Here is a 15,539-nt window from a genome sequence, read left to right on the forward strand (position 1 = left end):
GTTATGGAAGGACTGGCTGTCACTCCAAGGTGTCTTAGTAATATCATTCTCCACCTAAGGCCCACAGTTCCAGGCAGGAAGTCCTCAAAATGTGGCACCAGTAACAATACCTACATCGGCAAACTCATAATGCAGATCTGTGCTTGAATGAATCTGAGAGAGGTTTGCCAGTAGATTAAAGAATGATTCCCACTTAATTTCTCTTCCCTTGGGACTGCTGTCAGGTCCATGGTTCCAGGTTTACAGAAACTGGAGGTTTCTTCCTCCACCCTGCTATTCTGAACGTTTCCATTTCTCCCATGAAGTCCCCTGCTGTCACCAGAGGAATTCAGCCCTTTTGGTTTATATCCAGTCCTGTCCTCTCAAACAAGCACAATTTTAGAACGGCATGAGATAGACAGACATCAAGGGAATGGAAGAAGCTTGCAAGCCATTCCTGGGGGAGTGAGAAATAGCTCCCAGGTCTGCTTCCATCCCTGGGTTCTCTCCCTTCTCCCTCTGTTCCACCCTCCCTTCTCCCCTCTGTCACTCTCACTCTCATTTTCTCTCCCCCTGAGTCTTTGTGTTTGCTGCCCACAGCCCTCCTCAAAGGAAGATGCAGGCAGTAAGTGCTGCATGTGAGCAATGTGAGGGAAAGAGGATGAATAATGGTAGAAAATGGTTTGCAGGGCCGGCATGGTGGCTCGTGCCTGTAATCCCAACACTTTGGAAGGCCAAGGCAGGTGGATCATCTGAGGTCAGGAGTTCAACGCCAGCCTGGCCAACATGGCGAAACCCTGTCTCCACTAAAAATACAACAATTAGCTGGGCGTGGTGGTGCACGCCTGTAATTCCAGCTAACTTGGGAGGCTGAGACAGGAGAATCGCTGGAACCCAGGAGGCAGAGGCTGCAGTGAGCCGAGATCATGCCACTGCACTCCAGCCTAGGTGACAGAGCAAGACTCCATCTCAATAAGAAAGAAAAGGAAGGAAGGAAGGAAAGAAGGAAGGAAGGAACGAAGGAAGGAAGGAAGGAAGGAAGGGGAAGGAAAAGAGGAAAAGGGTTTGCAGGAACTCATTTTTCCTTGTTCTTTCAGGAGAAAAATAGCTAAGAGTGCATTTCTTCAATTTACTTCTGAGGCTGTCTCCTAAATGCCGTGGATTTTTTTTTTTAAATGGGAAAAAAACTAAGCTCAGGGTCCAAAGTCCAAGCTGGCATGGACAGGCATCATGATGCTCTTGCTCTCCCTAGTGGTGCTGCAATGAAAAATCAGCTGTTCCACCCCTCACCTGTGTCTTTTCTCCAGGTATCTTTAGAGATGATGCCAACCTGGCCCCTCTTACACACTTGAGCATAAAGTATCCTACTGTTAGAGCCAGATTAGCGTGTGCCTCTCTCTGATGTGACAAGGCTGTGGTATCCAAGTCTCCACCCACTTTCGGTAGCCCTGCCTCTCTTTCTCTAGCCAATTTCAAGGACACGTAACAGATACACAGGCAACTCTTTGAAGACACTCTGCATTCTCAACAGAAGGCTAGCCATTAAGGGCAAACTGCCCTTGCCCCAAAGGCAAAAACCAGCCCCAGCTCAGGGAAAACACTAGACCACTAGACTAAAGGTCTGGCTCCTTGGCCATTCTTGGCTTTGACCCCATTTCCCGGGACTTGACCCTTTTTTTTTTTTTTTTTTTTTTTTTGAGACAGAGTCTTGCTCTGTCACCCAGGCTGGAGTGCAGTGAGGTGATCTCGGCTCACTGCAACCTCTGCCTCCCAAGTTCAAGTGATTCTCCTGCCTCAGCCTCCTGAGTAGCTGGGATTACAGGTGCCCACCACCATGCCTGGCTAATTTTTGTATTTTTAGTAGAGACAGGGTTTCACCATGTTGGTCAGACTGGTCTCAAACTCCTGACCTTGTGATCTGTCTGCCTCGGCCTCCCAAAGTGCTGGGATTACAGGCATGAGCCATCACGCCCGGCCAGGACTTTACACTTTAAGCATGCCCTGGATACATGCCAGTGAGTTCTATAAATAAACTGTGTGAGCTGGGTCAGCAGGCTGAGTTGTGTAGGGGAGGGTGCTTTCTGCTCCCTAGAGACCTGTGAATCCGTGCCACATATCTTCAGTCTCTCAACATACTCAGAGCCCAGCCTCCTATAGGATCCTCCTAAAACAGCATCTAGGAAGGCTCATCCTAAACTCTCAGGGCCTGTTTTCCAGCATGTCAACCACAAGGAAACTTCCTGAGGAATTCATGGGGTCCCTAGAGCACAGAGCCTGGCTTCCAAAGAGAGAGCCCATCCCAGGTCAGCAGATGATCTCCCCATCCCATCTCTCTCACAGAAAATAAACTTGGATTGTGGAAAGAGTTGAGCACTTTCCTTTTGTCCTTTTCCTGTGGTTCTACTGATACTACCATTTCATGTTCTCTTGCTCTGAGAAGATATGCAGGCTTCCAAAAATACAAGCAAGTTTTCTACATAAGAGTGTCAACTCCAGTAGCAATCTAGCAGCTTCCATTTGTCTAGTTCATACATATATTTTAACGTTGTATAGCTTTGCACTTTTTATTAAAATATATCTATACAGAAAAGTACATGTATCATAAAGGTACCAAGTGAACACTCCCCACCAGACCAGCCCCCGGTCAAGACACAGAGCATCGCCAGTGGCCAAGCCACTTGTCCCATTTCTCAGTCACAACCCCTCCCCATTCATTCCACTGACTACTAACAGCATAGATTAATGTTACCAGGTTTTTTTTTTTTTACTTACGGAAAGGAAATTATACAGTATGTACTCTTGTGTCTGCCATCTCTTACTCAACATTATGTTTATTTCATGTAGTTTCATTTTCACTGGTGTATACATTTGGTTCTCATGTTTTTCAAATACATTTTCTCCAAAGAATTTGGGTACTCTCCTTCCACCTTGGCAAGCCCCCCCTGCCAGCTTCCTGTTTCCTCCTCTTTGTACTGGCCTCCCTCTTCCTGTCTCATCACTGTAAGTTTAAAAGGCAAAAGATCTGGAGACAACTGAGATGTTTATCTTGTATCAACATTTATTCTGATTCTTTGGTCACCCTGAAGTCTATATCCTTATCCTACCAGGCTCTGGACATTATTTAATCTGGCCAAAGCCTGGTAGAAGATGTCCCTGTAGAGCAGCCCCAGGGAAGGGGGATTCAAGAAGCTATAAATGCCTCTGGGCTCACCTGAATGTGTTTGACTGATGAGTGGGGTTTTTTGTTTTTTTTTTTTCTTCCTAGGAGTGCCTGAAGCTGAAGTCACTTGGTTCAGGAATAAAAGCAAACTGGGCTCCCCGCACCATCTGCACGAAGGCTCCTTGCTGCTCACAAACGTGTCCTCCTCGGATCAGGGCCTGTACTCCTGCAGGGCGGCCAATCTTCATGGAGAGCTGACTGAGAGCACCCAGCTGCTGATCCTAGGTAAACACTTCAAAGCTGGCTGCCTCTGCTGCACCCTGTTGGGAGTGACTATCTAACCCACCCTCTACCTCCTTTGTGCCCTAATCCAATTAAGGACATAAAAGGTAAAATTGATATCCCTTCACTTCTTCCCAATTTAGGGCCTTTCGATAGAACACAAACTTTGAGCCCAAACAAGAGCTTGAACCTTGGCTCTTCCATTTACTAACTGCCTGGCATTGGGCAAGTTACTTCACTCTGCTAAGCCTTAGATACTGGTCTCTATGCGGAGACTCCAGACAGGAGGATTGCAAGGGCAGAACAGGTATCTCAAACAGAGATAACCTAATTAAAACAATTGTCCTTAACTCTTCCTGCATTAAGGACTTCTTTGAGAATCAGATAAAAACTATGGATTCCTCCTTCTAGAAAAATTCATACATGTAATATTTTTCATATAATTCCAGGAAGCTTATGGTCTGGTCCATCTAAAGTCTCCACATGTACCCCTAAACATAAGAACCCCTGATTAAAGACTCTGGCATGGCTCCTGGTATAAAATGGGTGCTTAAAAATAATTGCTGGGACACCATCCACCATCTGATTATTGCCCAGTTCTGGACTCAGCCATGTTGCAAGCTATAACCGTTTTTGCCCCCTGGACTAGGGACACCCTGCTGTTCTTCCCCCACTGAGTCTGGGTGCTAGGGAGATAAAGTTAAAAAAAAAAAAAAATTTTTTTTGGCTTTCTCAAAAAAAAGAGCAATTATTAGAGCACTTATGCTCTAATTATGCTCTTTCTCACCTAGAGAAAGCTGTCATTCTAAGGAAAAAAGGGAAAGATGTAAGAAATAATAATTCATGCCACACATACATACATAAACATACATTACAGACTTCCTCAGGGAAAAATATTTAAACTTTACACTTCTGTTTTCACACCGAGAGTTGAAGATATACCAACACATAGGTCCTTCTAGACCCTGCCCACTCAGATTTCAGAGAGGCCCAAACGGGTTTTCATCTCACTGGTGGCTGCATAAACCTCCAGCCATCTTAAGAAGCCACAGAAAACTGGCTCAGAGAAAGATGTTATTTGTTTTGCGCTGGGTTTCATCCAGCTGAGCTGCTAGTCTGGAGCCCAGAGACCAGGGAATATTGCCCCACACTGAGTTACGGTGCTTACCAATGAGATTTTTCTCCCTAATAATCCTTCCTTATTGTCTCTGCTAACACAGATGAAAGTCTAAGATGTATGGCTGCTACTGTGGCTTTGCCAATGAAGTGTGTATGTTCTGTAGGCAGGTGCTTACTGCATTCCAACTCTAATACAGTGTAGCAGTGAACACGGTGTTCGAAGAGCAAAACATCTTCCCCATTTTCATCAAACTTAATGGGGAAAAAAATCACTGTCAAGACTCTTAGGTTTAAGGCTTTTCTTGATCACAGTTCTTGGTTTATTAAGGAAAGTTTGTTAGCTTTTAGCAGGTACTTTATGAACATCAAAGCAATGTCTCATTTAATCTGCAAAAATGTAGCTTAATTTTTAAAGGGGGCATTTTGTGGATGAAACTGAGATTTCACCCCAAGTTCCGTGACTTAACCTGTACTATGAGGACTTGAAATGCAGTAAGGCAGACTTTCATCCATGTATTCATATAGTCCATTGGACAGATATTCATTAAGTGTTGCCATTTTATGTTGCTGACATTAAGTTCCATGTCACCTGGACACTGGTAAAGTTTTAGGAGAAATATAAGTGGTGGCCTCTACCCCTGGAGAATTTACAGTTTTCCTGGGAAGAGCAAATGGACATGCACTGAAAAGGAAAATTACTTTCAAAGCTGTAAGGACATTAGGAGGGGCCAACAATTGGCCCAAAAAGAGCTGATTGTTTTGAAGATGGAAAGTACCCTCCCCTTTTTGCTCTTAGTAAATAAGCACAGCTTTCATGAGTTTCAAGAGGAAGTATTGAGGAGGAGAGAAAGAGAGATGCTTTGAGTAAACTGCCACCATCAGTTCCTAAAATCATGGTATTCCAGAGTAGAAAGAGATCTTAGAAAGGAACCTCATTTTGTAGATGAGAAAACTAAGGCTCTGAGGACTTAAATGACCTAATTAGTGAATGACAGAGGCATGGCTCAAACTGAGGGTTCCTGAACCCAGGCATGATGTTTTTCTCTATGCCATATGAAAAGGATTCTTTTGAAAGTATATTTATATATATATATATATATATATATATATATATAAAATGTGTGTGTGTGTATATATATATATGTACACACACACACATATGTAATCTCTAGTTCATCATTGTTTTCTCTATACAATGGTCTTTGTCAGTCAGACAGAAAGACTGAAGGTATGTTTTTCAAGTAGACTCAGGCACCATCATGACTTATTAATTCACCAGCCCTAACAAGTGCCTTACAAGGTGCCAGGCACGTAGTAGGGCTGTTGCAGAATGCTGTTGAAATGACCATCCATTTCAAGAGCAATACTCCTGGGCTGCTGCTTCCATTCCAACAAGTGCTCTGGAGAAAAAGGTGGGAGCTGGCCTTGGGAGTGTAAATTGCAGTTCCTCAGGAGATGCAGGAAGAGGGGAAAAGGGATCTGCTGCTTTTCCAAGAGAATCTGGGATCATCCCACCACTAAGTTCAGCAGGTTCTTGGCTCTTTATTTGTCCAGCAGAAATGATAAGCCACTATATATTTCCCATTTTAGTCACTTTTAGCATTAACTGGGAACTCTGATGACTTCAGCGCTGATTCCTTGTAAGATTCTGAATGATGAAGCATCGCATAGCAACATTCTCCTCCCTGCTTTATCTAGGTCCTACTTAGGCATAAAAATCCAAACCACAAAGCAAATTAACTCACCAACTTCACAACTGCATCTTTTGCTTCATAGAAAAGGGTCCTTTTAAATAAGAAATTCCCGTGGTGTTTATCTGTGTGGACAATAACAGAGTGCCTCATTCTGAAGACTGTTACTAGAGCTAAATGAAAAATGGACTGAAATGTATTTAGCACAGAACTTGGCATAGTAAATGCTAAAATTCACTTTTTTAAAAAAGTGTCTTTATGATATAGTTTAACTTATCTACAAATGTGTAGGTACCCAGTGATCTAAAGTGAGAAACCCCTGAACTTGGTATGCCTGCTTCTTCTTACTGACCTTATTATTTCAGGCATCAAATACCTGTATTAAGTTTGAAATTCAGACTCACCTTGACAGGGACTCCTCTATAGGAAAAATAATGTTAAAAGGCAACAATAGTAATGCCTATCTTACATATACGCATACATGTGCACACACATGCATACCCACCTCTTCCTCTTGCCTTGACACAGCCCTGTGCTTTAACCTGCCTGATCCACCCTCTGCCTTCTCACAGATCCCCCCCAAGTCCCCACACAGTTGGAAGACATCAGGGCCTTGCTCGCTGCCACTGGACCGAACCTTCCTTCAGTGCTGACGTCTCCTCTGGGAACACAGCTGGTCCTGGATCCTGGGAATTCTGCTCTCCTTGGTGAGTCTAACCCTCGGAAACATTGGGCAGAAAGCCAGGACTGGACAGGATTTATGGATGGGTGACTGTTTGCAGGTGGGAAGGAGGCAGCAGTCGGGGGTGGCCAACAGGGAATCACTAAATTGCCTACAGAATCCAGACTCACCAGTGGAAACTTGGCTGACTTTCCATATGAGGTGAATGCAGTTGTTAGTCTGGACTCTGTGGCTTGTCTAGATTCCAATATGGCTCCTTTCTGAATCCTCTTGGGTTGATGCCATAGTCCAGATCCTCTCAATCAGATTGACTCTTGAAACTTTGAGAAAGTTACAGCAGTAAAGAACAGCTCCTATATCTCCTCTCCTCTTGCTAACCATTCCCCAGTACTCCTCCATGATCCCCTGCCACCTAAACTAGAGCAATAATCAACTTTCGAGGAGAAAGTCAAATATCAGCACCCTCCAAAAGGAAGACTATACTATTTAGACCAGCTTTCTGTAGATATAGCCTAAAGCCAACCCAGATAGACTCCTCAAGGCAAGTGCTGAACTAATTTCACTAAGTACAACCTCCCTGTCATCTAGTGTTGGAAACCTTCACCAAGTTATTTCCCACATGGGTAGTGCCCTCTGGTAGCAAGGAGTTGTACGAGGGCATTCAAGTCCTGGGCCCCCACACGAGAATCATGAAGATGCCGGAAAAACCTTCACACATGACCTCTGGAGACGGACAAGGTGGAAGAGAAGAATTCTTCTGCCTTCAAAAGGCCTGGTGGGGGGGTGGGGAAATAGGCCTATACATGTGCAGGGACAGGGAATATATGAGAAGTTTCTGTACCTTCCTCTTGTGCTGTGAACCTAAGATCTAAAACTCCTCTTTAAAATAAAACAAAAAGCCAAAGCCTACAAAGTGGGGAAAATCTTCATACTAAGTCTATGTGATCCCAAATGTTGACAATAACAGCTAGAATTATTCCTGTGGCTCAAAGTTTAAAGCTTCTGTATTCTTTTACCCACCAACTAGCAAGGAACAGGAGGCCAGTGGGTTCCCAGTCGTATTGGTGATGACTTATCAACATGGCCACAGGGGCCTGGTATCTTTAGGATTAGAGCACAGAAACATGACCCTCAATTTTCGTTTTCATCTGAAACTTGCAAAGAATCTTCACAGCTTATCAGCATATGGAAAAATCTGATTTCTCTATTTTTGACTTGAGTAAAAATAAGACACAGGGAAAGTAACAAGTAGCCCTATTCTGTTGCCCATGATTTATACAAGTTTGGCACTGAGTTTTTCTATATCTTGTTGATCAGAATTAATAGAAGCTTCAAATTGCATATTGCCTTTGGCTTACAAATAGTAAACTGACTCCCAGTGAAATGTGCGTTGTGAACTTCTTTATTTTAGAATCACTATGAGAAACTCTCATAACTGTTCATCACAGCCTGGTCACAAGCAGGGTGGCAGCAATTGTTTATTTTCAAGTTCAGTAACTCTTTTGGGTCACTCAGGTGCCATTTAGCATGCTGGAAAAGTTAGCCTGTTCATATTTTTTCATGATAGCTTTACTTTCAGTCTCCCTTATTCTGGAATAATATTTTGTTTCATTTTAGCCATGGGCAATAAGAATTTATTGTACTTTATGTTGCCACATTCCATTGCTAGTTTGTGGTGCTTTGTTACCTTAGGCTGGTATTTAAATCCAGCAGTTAAGAGACACCTTAAATTCCCAGTCCACATCCAGACTGCTCCATTTGAATGAGACAGTGAGTCAGTATTCATAAAGTCCCTGAATGTAACTGCCTGGACCAAATGAACTTGAATGGTGAATGTCAGTGTCACGCCAGCACTATAGAACTAGGAGACTCACATGGAATTGTGGAGATGAATGAGAAAATGATGTCAAGTATCAGGACTCTGAGAAGTAGGTTGAGACAGGCAGAGCCTCATTATGATGCTTTGGAGCTGAGCACTGCAGAATGGGTGGGATTCAAATAGGCAGAAAGGAAGAGAAATGGGCACTCAAGGTGAGGAAGATTCCATGAGCCCCAAGATGAAAAATGTGCAAGATATGTATCAGATGTCTGTTCAGAAACAACTGTAAAACACCATTGCTTTAAGACTGATGACAGGCAGCTAAACTGGGATAGAAACTAGGCCATCAAAACGAACAAGCCTCAGCCACAGCTTGTCCATTCAGATTTGGCTCAGACCCTCACCCCAACAATCCTAATGCCCTCCTTCCATCCTGAACTTCCCCAGCTAGTACCTCATCCTGGTCTTAGTCCAGTGGCTCCCATCTGGACAAGCTCCCATCCCTGACTCCTATAGGTGGCCCTTTCAGACCACAGTGTGCGCTCTGGGTATGAGAAATAAGCCAGGGAGGCTGGAGAGGAGGTTTTGTGTAGGGTTGCTGAGAAATTAACATCAAACTGTGGAAGCCATGAATATAAAACAAAGGAAGTAGATGTACTACCTGGGGAACGGGAACAAATCTTTCGAGGGTTTTTAAATAGGAGAATGACATACTAAAAGTAATGTATGAGAAGAATTAATCTGGTATTCTGTAGGAATAATCGATAGTGGGAGAGATTTAATGAAGAAACCCTATTTTGAGGATAACAGAATTCTAGACCAAGGTGGAAATACATGGCAAAGATACTGTTAATCACTCCTCCCACAGCCAAGACATCCCTAGTCAGTCGTGACATTCTTTTTCACTCAGCTCAGGCACTGCCTTGGAATTCATTTTAATGTTCTTACCAAGCCTGGTGGTAGTTGATATATACAGGATGAAAGCCATTCACCAGCCTTGTTGTAGCCAGTGAGTGGTGAGATGCCAGCCACTGTATGTTTCCTCTATGTACGAGGTCAGCTGGCTGTAACAGCCTTACAGAACTTCATGGTTCTGTGGCACAGGAACAGTAACTCATAGACCCTGATTTTCATGTTTCCCAGCAGTAAGGGGGGAAAGGAGAGTTGGAGTTTTTTAAGCCATGTGTCAGAGCTCATTCTTCTTCATTAAGTCTGGAGTGTTGAGATCCCCAGTAGGTGAGACTATTCCAGAACTGGCTGTTTTAGTTATCGGACACCCTGGTATTGATTTCACCTCAAGCCACTGCTACAACTCTCCAAAGGGAATGTTGCCTGAGCAACACATGCACAGGCCCACCTGGGCCTCACTTTTCCATAACTATAAAAATGAAACCTTGGGACTAGCAAGTGCTTGTTGCTCTCATACTCTTGACCACATGGCTTAGACATAGAAATGCCCAGTAGAGGGTTGAATGATATTTCTGTCTTTAGGTCTTTGAGGAATTGACCACTGTCTTCCACAATGGTTGAACTAATTTACACTCCCACCAACAGTGCATAAGCATTTCATTTTCTCCACAACCTTGCCAGCATCTGTTGTTTTTTGACTTTTTATTAATAGCCATTCTAACTGGTGTGAGATGGTGTCTCATTGTGGTTTTGATTTGCGTTTCTCTAATAATCAGTGACGTTGAGTTTTTTTCATGTGATTGTTGGACGCATGTATATCTTCTTTTGAAAAGCGTATGTTCACATCTTTGCCCACTTTTTAATGCAATTGTGTTTTTTTGTAAATTTAAGTTCCTTATAGATGCTGGATGTTAGACATTTGTCAGATGTATACTTTGCAAAAATTTTCTCCCATTCTGTAGGTTGTGTTTCCTCTGTTGATAGTTTCTTTTGTTGTGCAGACGCTCTTTAATTAGATCTTGTTTGCCAGTTTTTGCTTCTGTTGCAATTGCTTTTGGTGTCTTCATCATGAAACCTTTGCCCATGCCTATGTTCTGAATGGCAATGCCGAGGTTGTCTTCTAGGGTTTTTACAGTCTTGGGTTTTACATTTAAGTCTTCAATCCATCTTGAGTTAATTTTTGTATATGGAGTAAGGAAGGGACTCAGTTTTAATCTTCTCTATATGGCTAGCCAGTTATCCCAGCACCATTTATTAAATAGGGAATCCTTCCCCCATTTCTTGTTTTTGTCAGTTTATCGAAGATTAGATGGTAGTAGGTATATGGCCTTATTTCTGGGTTCTCTATTCTGTTCCATTGGCCTATGTGTCTGTTTTTGTACCAGCACCATGTTTTTTGGTGACCATAGCCCTGTAATATACTTTGAAGTTGGGTAGCGTGATGCCTCCAGCTTTGTTCTTTTTGCTTAGGATTGCTTTGGCTATTAGGGCTTTTTTTGGGTTCCATATGAATTTTTAAATAGTTTTTCCTAGTTCTGTGAAAAATGTCGTTGATAGTTTAATAGGAATAACATTGAATCTGTAAGTTGCTTTAGGCAGTATGACCATTTTAACAATGTTGATTCTTCTTATCGATGAGCATGGAATGTTTTTCTATTTGTTTGTGTCATCTCTAATTTCTTGCAGCAGTGTTTTGCAGTTCTCTTTGTGGAGATCTTTCACCTTCTTTGTTATTCATTTATAAGATACAAATACTTCTTTATACGTTTGACCCATATTTGACAATCTGGTAGTTGATATTCAATATATAATACATATTTAAAGTTTAAAATATGATGTTTTGATATATGTATACACCTGTGAAATCATCACCACAATCAATATAATGAACATATTTTATCAGCCCCCAAAGTTACCTCATATCCCTTTGTAATTGTTCCCTCATACCCCTACCCCCACCACTACTGCTCCCACCCTAGGTGAACACTGATCTGATTTATGTCGGGGTAAACTAGACTGCACTTTATAGAATGGTATAGAAAAGGACTAATGCCTTTGGGATATTTTATTTCTTTCACTCAGAATAATTACTTTGACATTCATCCATATTGTAACATGGATCAACAGGGCATTTCTATTGCTAATTAGTATTTCATTGTATATACTACAGTTTGTTTAATCAGTCACCTGTTCAGAGACGGAATCGTTATTTTCAGTTTCTGGTTATTACAAATCTGCTGTGAAATTCATGTACATTAATCTTTGTATGCACACATAGTTTCATTTCTCTTGGTTAAACACCTAGGAGTGAAATGACTTGCTCGAATCATAGGTATATATTTAACATTTTAAGAAACAGCCAAACTGTTTTCCAAAGTAGTTGTACTACTTTACATTCCCGCCAGCAGTGTAAGAAAGTTCTGAGTTCTCCTTGTCCTCACCAAAGCTTACTGTAGTTGGTCTTTTGCATTTTGGACATTTTACTGTGTGTGTAGTGGTTTCTCATTGTGGTTTTAATTTGCATTCCCTTAATTACTAGTAGTGTTGAACATGTATTCATGTGTTTATTTGCCATCCTGATTTCTTCTTTGGTAAAATGTCTGCTCAATTTTTTGGACCTTTATTTAAACATTGAGTTGTTTACTTATATCAAATTTTCAGTGTTTTAATATATTTTGAATGTAAGTCTTTTAATGAGATATGTAATTTCCCAATACTTTGTCCCAGTCAGCAGCTATATTTTCATTCTCTTAACAGTGTCTTACAAAGAGTAGAAGATTTTGATTTTGATGAGGCTCAACTTACCCTTTTCTTAATTTTTTAAAATAATTTCAACTTTTATTTTAGATTCAGGAGGTACACGTGCAGGTGTGTTACATGGGTATATTTCCCAATGCTGAGATTTGAGGTATGATTGATCCCATCACCCAGATACTGAATATAGTACCCAATAGTTTTTCAGCTCTTGCCCTGTTCCTTTCCTCTCTCATTAGTAGTCCCCAGTGTCTACTGTTGCCATTTTTATGTCCATGAGTACCCAATGTTTAGTTCCTGCTTCTAAGTGAGAACATGTGGTATTTGGTTTTCTGTTCCTGCATTATCCTGCTTAGGATAATGGCCTCCAGCTGCATCCATGTTGCTGCAAAGGACATGATTTCATTCTCTTTATGGCTGCATAGTATCCTATGGTATATATGTACCATATTTTATTTATCCAATCCACTGTTGATGGGCACCTAGGTTGATTCCATGTCTTTGCTACTGTGAATAGTGCTGCAATGAACACACAAATGCACGTGTCTTTTTGGTAGAATGATTTATTTTCTTTTGAATACATATCCAGTAATGGGACTGCTGGATTGAATGATCGTTGTGTTTTAAGTTCTTTGAGAAATATCCAAACTGCTTTCCACAGCGGCTAAACTAATTTACAGTCCCACCATCAGTATAAAAGCATTCCCTTTTCTCTGCAGCATCACCAGCATCTGTTGTTTTTTGATGCTTAAATTGTAGCCATTTTGACCAGTCTGAAATGGTATCTCATTGTCTTCTTTTGAGAAATGTCTGTTCCTGTCTTTTGCCAATTTTTAATGGGGTTAGTTGTTTTTTGCTTGCTCAGTTTAAGTTCCTTATGTATTCTGAATATTAGACCTCTGTTGGATACATAGTTTTTGAATATTTTCTCCCATTCTGTAGGTTGTCTGTTTACTCTGTTGATAGTTGCTTTTGCTGTGCAGAAGCTCTTTAGTTTGATTAGGTCCAACTTGTCAATTTTTTGCTTTGTTTCAATTACTTTTGAGAACTGTTTTGGTTACTGTAGCCCTGTAGTATAGTTTGAAGTTGGGTGGCATGATGCTTCTATCTTTGTTCTTTTTATTTAGGATCACTTTGGCTATTCAGGCTCTTTTTTGGTTGCATATGAATTTTAGAATAGTTTTTTCTAATTCTGTGAAAAATGAGGTTGATAGTTTGATAATAATAGCATTAAATCTGTAGATTGCCTTGGGCAGTATGGCCATACTAATGATATTGGTTCTTCTAATCCATAAGCACGGAATGCTTTTCCATTTATGGATGTCATCTATGATTTCTTTCAGCATTGTGTTTCATAGTTCTCCTTGTGGAGATCTTTAACCTTCTTGGTCAGATATATTCCTAGATATTTTATTTTTGTGTATTTTTGTGTTGCTATTGTAAATGGCATTGCATTCTTGATTTGGCCCTCAGCTTGAAGGTTATTGACATATAGAAATGTTACTGATTTTGTACATTGATTCTGTATCCTGAAACTTTACTGAAGTCATTTATCAATTCCAGGAGCCTTTTGGAAGTCTTTAGGGTTTTCTAGATGTATAATCATATAGTCAGTGAAGAGAGATAGTTTGACTTATTTTCTTATTGGGATGCCTTTTATTTCTTTCTCTTGCCTGATGGCTCTCACTAAGACTTTCCATTTATTCTTTTAGGGCTCATTCTTTTAGCATTGTATTTAAGAAATCTTTGCCTACTTCTGTCTCAAAGACGTTCTCATATTTTCTTCTAGAAGTTTCATAATTCTAAGTTTTAAGTTAATTTATCTTTAGTTAGTTTTGTATATGATATAAGCTATATATTGAAGTTTGTTTTTATACATATGGACATCTAACTTATCCACTACAATTTGCTGAAAATATTATCCTTTCTCCACTGAGTTGCCTTTGCATCTTTCTGGAAAATCAATTGTTCTTATATACGTGGGTATATTTCTAGATCTCTATTCTATTTCATTGTTATGTTTGTCTCTTATACCACATTCTACTTAATGCCCTATAAATCATAAGGTCTGGCTTGTGGAAACAGATACTATTCCCTACCCTGTGTGAGCCTCAGACACTGGTACTTCTAATTCTTTTAAGTGGTTCTTCCCCTACTTCACACACATGCCACCAATACGCATTCTGCGCCATACTCAAGGGGATCCTCTGCAGATTTACAAAAACCACGTGTTTTTATAAGTACAGTTTTACTGTAACAGAGCCACACCCATTAATTTACCCAAGTGTTCTGTGGCTGCTTTCATATTACAACAGCAGAATTGAGTACGTGTGACAGGCACCATGTGGCCCAAAAACCTAAATTATTTCCTATCTGCCCCTTTACAGAAAATGTTTGCCAACCCCTGATCCGGTCCCTCTACCTTATTATTGGAAAGGACACCAAGGTCTTATGGGAGTCGTGACATATTCCCTGTTTCTAAGGATCACATCTTTCCTACTGTATCTCTGTGTCCTTCATCCTGTCACTGGCTTAGGCCTCCATGAGGTCAAAGACCCTAAAAGATGCACTATATTAGCCTGTTTTCATGCTGCTGTTTTCTTCCCGAGACTGGGAAGAAGAAGAGGTTTAATGGACTTACAGTTCCACATGGCTGGGGAGGCCTCACAATCATGGCAGAAGGCAAGGAGAAGCAAGTCACGTCTTACATGGATGGTGGCAGGCAAAGAGAGAGCTTATGCAGGGAAAACTCTCATTTTTAAAACCATCAGATCTCATGAGACTCATTCATTATCACAAGAACAGCATGGGAAAGACCTGCCCCCATGATTCAGTCACCTCCCAGCAGGTTTCTCCCATGACATGTGGGAATTGCAGGAGGTATAATTCAAATGAGATTTGGGTGGGGACACAGCCAAACCATATTACACACACACACACACACACACACACACACACACACACACACGCAAAAACCTAGAGGAGTAGAAATTGTCCTCAGGAAGGTAGGGAAAGAGAGAAAAGCTCTAAAGAGCCTGGAGTTTCCTCAGAATTAGATAGCCTCAGGTGGCTCCAGTTTAAAAATAAATAAATAAATAAATAAATAACTAGGCTGGGCATGGTGATTCACACCTGTAATCCCAA

The 15,539-nt window shown here is 41.1% G+C and overlaps 1 protein-coding gene across 16 annotated transcripts in view; it reads left to right on the forward strand.

Moving 5' to 3' along the window:
* ADAMTSL1 (ADAMTS like 1) overlaps positions 1-15,539 on the forward strand; it is a 1,004,318-nt gene that overhangs the window by 916,407 nt on the left and 72,372 nt on the right. For all 16 annotated transcript variants that reach the window (XM_011518064.4, XM_017015312.3, XM_011518063.3 and 13 more), the window contains 2 exons: positions 3,245-3,424; positions 6,804-6,938. In XM_011518064.4, coding sequence (XP_011516366.1) covers positions 3,245-3,424; positions 6,804-6,938 — 315 coding nt within the window. The remainder of the gene's footprint in view (positions 1-3,244; positions 3,425-6,803; positions 6,939-15,539) is intronic.

Source organism: Homo sapiens, chromosome 9, assembly GCF_000001405.40.
Source record: "Homo sapiens chromosome 9, GRCh38.p14 Primary Assembly".
NCBI lineage: Eukaryota > Metazoa > Chordata > Mammalia > Primates > Hominidae > Homo > Homo sapiens.